Source organism: Homo sapiens, chromosome 8 (genome assembly GCF_000001405.40).
Source record: "Homo sapiens chromosome 8, GRCh38.p14 Primary Assembly".
Lineage (NCBI taxonomy): Eukaryota > Metazoa > Chordata > Mammalia > Primates > Hominidae > Homo > Homo sapiens.
The window spans coordinates 101,165,778-101,176,730 of NC_000008.11; the positions used below are offsets into that span (position 1 = coordinate 101,165,778).

At 41.1% G+C, this 10,953-nt stretch overlaps 1 long non-coding RNA gene across 1 annotated transcript, besides 2 other annotated features; it reads right to left on the reverse strand.

Moving 5' to 3' along the window:
• Window positions 624–918: an enhancer, noted in NCBI's record as "tiled region #1163; HepG2 Activating non-DNase unmatched - State 23:Low, and K562 Activating DNase unmatched - State 13:Ctcf". NCBI's record gives its function as "activates a minimal TATA promoter and a strong SV40 promoter by Sharpr-MPRA in HepG2 and K562 cells {active_cell/tissue: HepG2 | K562}" and the evidence as "EXISTENCE:reporter gene assay evidence [ECO:0000049][PMID:27701403]".
• On the reverse strand, window positions 1,028–4,462 carry ZNNT1 (ZNF706 neighboring transcript 1). Its single transcript, NR_164368.1, has one exon. It is a non-coding gene; the product is annotated as a ZNF706 neighboring transcript 1 (long non-coding RNA).
• Window positions 1,504–1,703: an enhancer, noted in NCBI's record as "active region_27728". NCBI's record gives its function as "activates an Ori minimal core promoter by ATAC-STARR-seq in GM12878 lymphoblastoid cells {active_cell/tissue: GM12878}" and the evidence as "EXISTENCE:reporter gene assay evidence [ECO:0000049][PMID:35858748]".
• Window positions 4,463–10,953: the final 6,491 nt, after the last annotated feature.

The window sequence follows — 10,953 nt, forward strand, 5'->3', positions numbered from 1 at the left end:
GGCAGAGGTTGCAGTGAGCTGAGACTGTGCCACTGCACTCTAGCCTGGGTGACAAGCAAGACTGTCTCAAAAAAAAAAAAAAAAAAAAAAGAGTACATGCCAGCTGCCCTTCCCAGGTAGCTGCCAGATAGCATCTGCTTATAATTCATTGGCCAGGCACAGTTATACAGCCACACATAGTTGCAAGGGAGGCTGGGAAGTAGAGTCTTTATCCTGGGCAGCCATTGGCACAGCTGAAAACTGGGAGTCTATTACTATAGAAAAAGAAGGAAGAGGGTAGTGTAGGATTACTGACAGCCTCTGTCTCAGATATATCCAGTCACTTAATCCTCCAGACAATGCCTGCAGATAGATACTATTCTTACGCTCATTTTGAATATAGGGAAACTGAGGCACAGAAAGGCTAACAACCTTGGCCAAGGTCATACAGCTAGAGTGAACTCAGGAGACTTGCCTCCAAAGCCTGTGTTCTTTGCTCCCCGTCACACAGCTTCCACGGGCGCGAGTCTGGCCCACTTGAGGCCCAAGGAAGTGCATGCGTATTCCCTAGCTGTGCCTTCAGCCTCTCCTCTCTTTCTAGAAAGCTGTATTCTGTTCCCTCCCCCTTCCTTCCGGGCTGGGGTTCAGGCTCTGCCTGCTCCTGGTTCTCACTGATGTCCTCAGCATCTTCCCCACTGTGACATCATTTTGTGGCTTACAAGCCCTGAGAGGAAGGGCCAAAGCCTTTATGCAGCATCCGGGCATTTAAGGAGTGCAACAGAGGGATGTGGGCGAGGGCGCCACCACTGGAGGACCTCCAGTCATGCCTCCTCCTGTTCGCCCCCCACCAAGGGATCTGCTTGACAAAGATGGCTGCCTATGACTCTGATTCTTTAGACAAGGCCCTGCATGGCTGTTAGGAGTTAGAAGCTTCAGCTCCCTTGGTCTGGAACACAAACTGGTCTCCTGTAGAATTTGCTTAGTGGGGGCAATGCTACTATGGAACAGACATGAAATATCATTCTTAAAACACAAAGCAACAACAGTATTCATCAAAGGAAATGATTTTTATTGTTACACAAAACATTTCTTGTCAGAGCACACATAAATCTAGACAGCAGCTGCATTTTCAGAACAAACAGATGAAATACCTTTGGTGAACTGTGAGTTGGGGAAAACAAGTCACCTTATTTTAAAATTTGGTAATGTGTTTACTGAGTTTAACAGAAATCAAAATCAGGACAGAGTGAGAAAAAACATTTCTGTGGAAACAAAATGCGTTCTCATGAGCACAGCCTATTGTGATGCTTATTATTTTACACAGAAAGAAGAAGAACTGGGTTCCATTTCCTGGGCTTGGGAAAATGCAGCAAACCCTGACCAATGCAAAGAAGGGCTTCCTGGGTCTGCCTCTTAGTCTCTGAGCTAACAGTGCTCCCCAGCTGCCTTCTGACAGACGCATATACCAGCTGACACATCCGGGAGCACACAGCTCACCTGTGTGTGCACAGGGCAGAGCCAAGCCGGGTTTATTCTCATCACGTTGTCGCTCCCACAGCCGCTCCTTCCAGTTCATTCTCACTGCTTCCATCGGGGCTACTGTGGTAGTCTGCCTGTCTTCGGGGCCTCCACCCCCACCCCACCTACAACCACACCGCCATTGAGGCTTAAAGGCTGACCTTTACCATCCACCCTTGAGGTGTACATTCTTACCATTTTTCTTGATCATTTTCAGAAGCGGAGGACACTCTCAAGTCCGCCCATTCCTTCTTGAAGGGTTCTAAGTTTTTCTATTAAACCCAAATCTGTGTTTCTCATAACATCCTCTCGGCTGAGATATAACTAATTAATCAGCTCCCTCTTCTAGAGCGTTTTCCTCACATAGAATTCTTTCTCTTTGTGGCAGACTGGTAATTCTCCTCCACATTGTCTGTTTCACCCTTCTTCAAAAGCAACAGTTTTAGCTGGGTTTGGGGTTACCTAGCATAAGACCATATTTCCTAGAGTTCTTTCTGCTGGGTGTGGCCATGTGACTAAGCTCAGGCCGATGTTATAGGAATAGAAGACATGTAAGCAACTTCCTGGTGATGTTTTTTTGTTTTGTTTTTTAAAGAGATGGGGTCTCACTATGTTGCCCAGGCTGGAGTGAGGTGGTGTGATCATGGCTCACTGTATCCTCCAACTCCTGTGCTCAAGTGATCCTTCCACCTCAGCCTCCTGAGTAGCTGGGACTATAGGTGCACACCACCACACATGGTTAATTTTTAAATTTTTTGTAGAGACAAGGTCTTGCTTTCTTATCCAAGCTGGTCTCAAACTCCTGGCTTCAAGCTATCCTCCAGCCTCGACCTCCCAAAGTGCTTGGATTACAGATGTGAGTCACTGCACCTGGCCTGGCTATGTCCTTAAAATGACTGGGTGGTACGTCTAGTTCTCTTTCTCCCGTTTTTCTGCCTGGGAGATGATGAGAACTGGAGCGGTCATCCTGAGCTTACAAGGGGAAGCCTTGTGTTGAGGAGGGCTGATTAACTGGACTTGGACCACCTGCCTACCTCGACCGTTGTGAGAAAAATTAACTGCATTGTGGTAAATCCTTTGCATTTTGGACTCTTTCTTACAGCAGCTTAGCCTGTACCTCACCTCCACTTATGAGCCTACTCATTCTGCAAATATTTCACCAGCCTAGAAAGAGCTTCTCCATCCTCTGAATCCAAAGCCCTTTGACCTGCCTCTTGTGTTTGGCCTCACTATTTACCTGGTACTACATTTGTCTGTGCATGAATCTTACCTGCTCTTTGCAGGCCAAAGAGGACAGGGGTAAAAGCTTAATCGCTTTCTATTACACAATGCCTAGCATATTGCCTTGGACAATGATTGGTTCCCAATAAATGTGTTGAATGAAGAAAGATGATTCTTCATTGTCTGTATACATGAATGAATTATAACAAAATTAGAAGCTAGTGATATTTGATTAAATAACCATATCTAAAAACTACTAGATAAGAGATTACTGTCAAGCTAGAGAATGAGGTGCCAAGTTGGCAAGCTACTGGTTTTTCTCCTGTTCAACATTTGTATCAACAACTTCAATGAACGATAGTCAATATACCCATTGTGCCTGTGGATAACACAACGGGAAGCCAAAAAAAAAAAAAAAAAACTAGATAAGAGAGTCAAAAATCAAAAAGATCTGTACAGACAAGAATAATGGATGAAAATTAAACATTAACAGAAAAGTTCTGAATATCAGTTCAAAAGTAGGCAAAGGGAAATAATGGAAGAGAAGTAGTTTAATTAAAGACTATGAAAAAGGCTTAAGGATTTTATTTGATTGGAAGTCTGGTATCAGTTAAGAATACAATGTGTTGGCCAAAAAATCCTAGTGCAATTCCAGGCTGAATACATTCATTCAGCAATGATTTATTGGGTGTCTACTAAGTGCTTGGTGTTGTGTGGAAAACAAGGATGAAGGTGTGGCCCCTGCTTTCGAGCAGCTTACAAAAGTGACATGTGTTCCTCCTAGACCACAAAGTAGAAAGCATTTGGTGCTGCAAAGTAAAAGAGACAGGAAAGGTCGGCACATGTATGATGAAGGGGAAGAGTGGGCTTGTGGAGAAGCACAAGGAATGATAAGGTAGGGAAGATATTTCAGTGCCAGTCTGTAGTAGGTCCTTAGTGCCAGGCCAAGAAGATTGGAAGTTATGTGAGGGGATGAGGAAATGAAAGATTTTGCAGCCAAAAAAAAAAAAAAAAAAGATGGTCAGTGTTTTAGGAAGATTTCTTTGGAAGCAGTCTGTTGGACAAATTGGAGTGGGGAGACACACACACAGAGGCTTATACTTGGCATCATTTCAAAGATTGATGTTCTTGTTCCTCATCTTCATTCTATAAGTGGAGAAAGTGAAGCTGAAGGTTTAAATGATGTCCCTAAAGACACAGAGCTGACAGGGGTATGCAGAAGCAGAATCCAGGATGGTGCTTCTGGGTCCAGTGGGTGATAAACCAATGGCAATTAGACCTTGCACAGTTGTTGGAGTTTAGAAAAACATTTCTGGAGGGACTTAAGGAAACCAGTTAAGAGATCATTTCCACAGGCAAAGTAAAAAATATTGAGCACTGAAAGTGGAAAGAGGGTCAGCTGGGGGAGAAACTGCTCTGATGCTGTGGGTTGAGAGGGAAGGAAGCAAGGCAAAGAGGACTTGGAGACAGAAGGACAGCAGTGGGATGAATGACCATGGGGAATACAAGGATGAAAAAGCAACTTGGAGGAGTACCATTTTGAGTGGGGCCAATTTTTTTTTTCTTTTTGAGACGGAGTTTCGCTCTTGTTGTCCAGGCTAGAGTGCAATGAAGCGATCTTGGCTCACCACAACCTCAGCTTCCCGGGCTCAAGCGATTCTCCTGCCTTAGCCTCCCAAGTAGGTGGGATTACAAGCACGTGCCACCATGTCTGCCTAATTTTGTATTTTTAGTAGAGATGGGGTTTCTTCATGTTGGTCAGGCTGGTCTTGAACTCCCCACCTCAGGTGATCCACCCGCCTCAGCCTCCCAAAGTGCCGGGATTACAGGCGTGAGCCACCGTGCCCAGCAACAGAGATTCTAGTGGGGCCCATTTTAACAGAAGGGGCACTGGAAATGAATGTGTCCAGAAGAAGGTAACTGGAAAGCAAATTGCAGGAATGAGAGAAGGAACTGCTTAGTCTGGGAAAGCCTAAGTTATTTGCAGAATTGAATTGAAAAGATTTCCGGGGAGAACAGATAGCTAGCATCCTACATCTGTAGAGCTTTTACAGAACAATGTTAAGTTGCCTCCTAACGAGCTTTAGCATGGCACCAGTGGAAGGCACTGTTAGATGGCAGCAATGCAGAGTTGTGGAAAGGCCAAGGGGCAGAAGATTTGAGGCAGATCAGCTCCTATCTGTGAAGCAGTATAGTGGGAGGAGCACAGACTTTGGAGTCACACAGACCTGGGTTCTAGTCCCAGCCTACCTCTACCAGCTATGTGACCTTGGGGAAGTTGCTGAACCTCTTTGTGCCTCAGTTTCCATATGTACAAAATAAAGAGGCTAGATTGGAAGACTTCCAAGATCTTGTCTAGCTATAAAATTCCTTGGTTCTAAAAAGGTGGCTTATGTGCATAAAATAAATAGATGGAAATACAGTATTATCTTCTTTGGATTTTGCTCTCAAATCTGTACTAATATTGGTTATCAAGTATGCACAGCCAGCCTGCTTCTGTTGCACTGCATGATGGCATGTAATGATGGAACAGAGCTGACATGTTCACAAAAGCACTTTTCTCTGTGGGTAGGAGTGGAAAATAGTTCCATTTAGCTGATATCACTAATTTTTAAAGAAAACCATATGAGCTAAAGAGAACTGAAGATGAATGTGGGAGCTATGAGTCAACCACTGAATCTCAGCTGCATTAATTTTACATTATAAATGACACAGTTTTAAAGTTTCTTAGATTTTATAATAGTTGAAATTTTTCTTTAAAAGAGTACACCCTATACATGCCGATACACGTTAAAAAGATTGAACATTTCTTCCCATTCTAAAGCATCTTGAAAACAATGACTGTGCTGTTAGCGATTTTTAATATAAAATACATTTCCTAGCAGTGTTATAAACCGCTAACAGCACTTTTTGTGAAAATTGGCTACTTCATACAAAAAAAACCTCACAGTTTTTGTTATCTTTGTAGGATTTTCTTCCCCCTTTTTGAATTGTTTTATAATGGATAATGTTGCTTAAAAACATCCAGCATTTCCATGAGAAATGAAATATTCAGAAGACTTCTGGATAAGTGATATTTATACATAGTTCCTTTAATCTTAAATACCTAACTCTTAAATAGCATATAAGAGAAATTGTTTTCCTTTACCGTCGTAGATTAAAAGTGGCATCACAAATTTTCAGGTAGGAAACTAAAATATAAGACCTAGAGATTATATAAGAAAGATCCACACTGGCCATCCTTACCTCAAAGCAAACTAAGACCCAGAGGCAGAGAAGAATTTCAAAGCCTGACTTAGAGGATTGTGGAAAATAATTATATCAAATCAAAGTTTAGGACAATCTTGGACCATGGAAAGAAGAAAAGAACATTTAGCACATTGTTAAAAATAGATACTCATTCTCTTTTAACCATAGACAGTTCTTTAACATCTTACATTAGCAACACAGACAGACTGGATCCAGTTTCAGTTCATTCTGTCACTTAACCATTCCACGACTCAATTTTTTCATCACCAAAATGGGGGCGATATTATTTCCTAGCAGGCTAAGTGTGCAGCTGACATGTGACGATGTGTGTGCAGTCCTTTGTAAATTATACAGCACTTCAAACACAGAGGTCTGCTGTTATGGGTCAAGACTGTCAGGAGAGCTCATGGTTAATGCGAATGACCCGGAAACGACTCGTAGCTGTTTAACACACATGTTTTTGGTATCAAAACTGCAAGCGGGATTGAGTTTGAAAGAGCATTATTAAGAGAAAACAATCTGCTCTGCAGATTCCAACTGTGATGTGGTGCCTGTTTCTTGGCACAGACCTCCCACTTAAACTAATTAAAGTTCCACACAGGTAGAAAATGAATGCTTGACTTGAGATCTGCCATGTGGACCTAAAAGATGGAATTGTCTATGGCTCTTTTATTTCGGTTAAAAGAAAGCAGCATTTGCTTTGTTTAAAAAAGAAAATGGGGGGAGGGGAATGTATGTGGGTTTGTTTAAATGCTGAAGAAAACTGTTCTAAGCAGCTGGATGAATAAAAGGGAGGAGCACTAAAGAAAGAATGCGCTAAATCTAAAGATACAAGAACAACACCCAGGAATTGATTGAAAATGCTTTGGTGACAAGTGAGGCATGTAATGACAAGAAAGCAGCATGTGTGCATATTGAGGAGTGCATGTGGAAAACAGGTTTCTCCTTTTAATTAGCTTTGCCGCTGGGAGGACCTTCTCTCTCCACTTTCTGTCCAGCTCTTCCATCCCAGAATTCCACTCTGGGTTCTTGTGATGTGCTAACGAGGCTGCAGGGCAGCTCTGATTGAGTGGGCCAATAATACTGGCTCAAGGCCACCTAGAGAAGTGTTCTCCCCAGCCTGACAGATGCCCTTTAAAGAAAAACCTGGAAGAGCACCAGCCTTTTTGATGGTGGCTTAGATACTTGAAGCCCGATGTCATTCTTTGGGTGAGATAATGATTCTTTCCTGCCTGGCCCACCTATAGCCCCTTCTGAAATTTAAAATTTTTCAGGAATATGTTGGAAAGTCTACTAGTTTTTCTCCAATGTCTGCCCTCCTTCTTTATTGATAGAATCTCAGTTTTTACTGATTGTACAAAATAAAGACATTTCCCAGCCTTCCTTGCAGCTGGAATGTGTGTGTGTGTGTGTGTGTGTGTGTGTGTGTGTATGTAAGGGGAAGTGCTGGGTGCAGCCTCTGGGGTGGGGTTATTCCTATCCTCCTCTTTCCTGCCTGGACCATGCAGATGAGGGCCATCCCCTAGAGATAATGAAGCAATAAGATGGGAGATACCTGGCAGTCCTTGACACCATGGACCCGCCATACTAGTCTTTGGCTGCAAACTCTCACGCTGTCATGGAAGATAAATAAACCTCAATACTGCTTAAGCCATTGAAACTTTAGGTCTCTGTTGCACACAGATGAACCCATAGTCCAACAAATGTATCTTCTTGACTAAATCTTACCTTCTTACTCTGATGATTTATATTCAGAGAATAAATTTAACTTTGTCTATATCTGGGGTAAAAAAGAACAGCTCTTCAATAAATCTGCTTCTCTCCAAAAATATTCCAGAAAATTCATGTGATTGGAAAACTGGGCTACTTAGTAGAAGTAAAAAAAAAATTTTTTTTTTCAGGGGATTCTTTGGGAAGCAAAGATCTCCAAAATTCAGTCTCCGTTATGTCTGCAGAATGCACTTAGTACATGTTTGGTCAATTCAACGTTCGTTGGTGAAATTGGCCAGCAAAGCTTGCAGAAACAGAGAATGTGAATGCACAGTGCATGACGGTGGGCTGAGCTTTGGACATCAACAGGGGAATAAAAATCAGTTCAGCTCTTGCTAAAATAGTTTTCCATTGTCTGAATCAGAACTGAGCACAAATGAGTCACCAAAGTTAAAGCTGAAAAACAACTAAGTTGGACTAAGAGTCCAATAAGCCAAAGCCAAGTCTGTTATATATTATTTTATGGAATTATGGGGATAAAGAGGCTTTAGAAAAGAGTAATGTGGAAGAATCTATGTTGGGCTTGTGTGTATATCTCAAGAAGTTTTCAAAAGTTCATGGAAAATATATATTATGAGAAAACTATGCATGTATTCAAATTTTTTTTTTTTTTTTGCCAGATAAACTCATACTAACTTTTTATAACATGTCTGAACAGAATCTAGTGTGAGGCTCCCAGAAGGGTAAGACATCAGCTTGAAAACAGCCCCTGTGAGAGGAACATGAATTTTGCTAAAATTGAAGCAAGAACAAATGTGTCAAGTTTACGGTGACACTTGAGTGAAAGAATGGTGAAACCACTGATGCTTTATGAAAACTTTAGGAGTATAATGTCCCAAAGAAATCAGCAATTTACAAATGGGTAACTCGTTTTAAGAAGGGATGAGATGATGTTGAAGATGAAGCCCATAGTGGCAAGCCATCCACATCAATTTGTGAGGAAAAAATTCATCTTTTTCATGCCCTAGTTAAAGAGGACTGATAATTAACAGCAGAAACAATAGTCAACACCACAGACAACTCAATTGATTCAGCTTACACAATTCTGACTGAAAAAATCAAAGTTGAGCAAACTTTCCCACAATGTATGCCAAAACCATTGCTTCTAGATCATCTGCAGACAAAAGCAGAGCTTTCAATGAAAATTGGAAACAAGTAACATCAAGATCCTGAAGCATTTCTTTGAAGTAACAAGAGATGAAATATGGCTTTACCAGTACAATCCTGAAGACAAAGCACAATCAAAGCAATGGCTACCAAGAGGTGTTAAGTGCTCCAGTCAAAGCAAAAGTATACTAGTCAAGAGCTAAGGTCATGGCAACAGTTTTTTGGGATGGTCAAGGCATTTTGCTTGTTGATTTTCCGTAGGGCCAACGAATGATAACATCTGCTTATTATGAGAGTGTTTTGAAAACATTAGCCAAAGACTTAGCAGAAAAACACCCAGGAAACCTTCACCTGAGAATCCTCCTCCACCATGACAATGCTCCTGTTCATTCCTCTCATCAAACAAGAGCAATTTTATGAGAGTTTTCATGTTAGGCATCCACCTTACAGTCCTGATTTGGCACCTTCTGACTTCTTTTTATTTCTTATCTTAACAAATCTTTACAGGGCACCCATTTTTCTTCAGTAATAATGCAAAAAAAAAAAAAAAAGAAAGAAAAAGAAAGAAATGGTTGCACTGACATTGTTAAATTCCCAGGTCCCTCAGTTCTTTAGGGATGGACTAAATGATGGCTAGTATCATTGCTCACAAGAGTGTCTTGAACTTGATGGAGCTTATGTTGAGAAATTTTTATTTCGTATTTTTATCTTTTATTTCAATTTTTCTACAAACTTTTTGAAGTCCCCTGTGTGTATGTATATGTACATTCCTGAGCTGGAGTATAACATTACTTTGGACAAAATTCTTTACATTAAAATTCACTTCTAGAATAAAGAGGTTCACAACTATAGGTTTCAAAGAATATCAGAACAAGAAAGAGAACAAGAGATCTCTCTCCAGGTTAAACATCATTCCACTATCGATGAGGTTTGAATGTAGTTGCTCAAGCAGCTGTATATTCACCTAAACAGAGTAACAACCCAGTCTACATTTCTCCACCATATCCATCATATAATGTGAGGATTTCGGAGTGATTTTGTCAGATGTAGGGTTAAACTCCATTGCCAGCACCCCTCAATGTACCCAAACAGGAATAGTCTACTTTTCCTGATTCCTTTTTAAAGTCTCACAAATTATCTTTTTAATTAAGCATTCTATAATTTTTTCCCAGGAAACAGCTTCGATTTTATCAGCTGGTATTTATTGTCCATGAGTCACCTTTTGGACTACTGGGTTGACATTTCCTCAATTCCTGTCTTTTGGCCACTCTCATTTATCATAAGCTTTAAGAACTTATGGCTACGCAATTTTATCTGCATATCTTTTCAGTGCCCCAAAAGCAAATTTTTAGGGCCTAGAGATATATTTTGTATAGCTACTATATTGTGTTCTCTTTTAACCATGTTTGTTTCATGCCTTCTAATTTTGAGAAATGAGAACACTATCTTTCATGAAGAAGAAATGGAAAGTAGGGGTTATTTGTTGATGTGAAAGGATAAGAGGTATCACATGGAATAGAACCTTTTAAAAGTGTTACGCTTTTCTAAAGTTTAAACAGCAGTAGTTCTCAACCCTGGCCACACATCAGAACCACCTGGAAAGCTTAAAACAAGACAAAAACAAACAAGCAAACAATCATGCCTGATCCCCACTCCAGAGTTCCTGATTTAATTGGTCTGGGGTGGGGCATGGACACGTGTGTTTTTAAAAGTTCTCCAGGAGATTCTAACATGCAGAGTTGAGAATTACTGCAAATCTAACCATTAGAAGAGTATAACATTTCTTTTTTTAAAGGCCTGATTTCCATAGGAAATCCTGTCTGTTGTTCCATGAGTTAGGATGCAGCAAAGCTTTGATAAAAAGGGATTTTCAGGCTGTAAGCCCATATACTCATGGAAGCTCTGAGCAACAAGAGGTGTTGGCTGACTTAGCTCAGTGGTTCTGAAAGTCTAATTTTGGATAGCATCACTTGAGGAATGTATTGAAAACGCTGATTTCTGAAGCTCCCTTGCTGTCCTCCTTAAGGTTCTAAATTGCTTGGGAACGGAGGTAATGGGAGGGGTACCAGCACCTGCATTTGTAACAGGCAGGCAGGCCAAGCAGTTCTA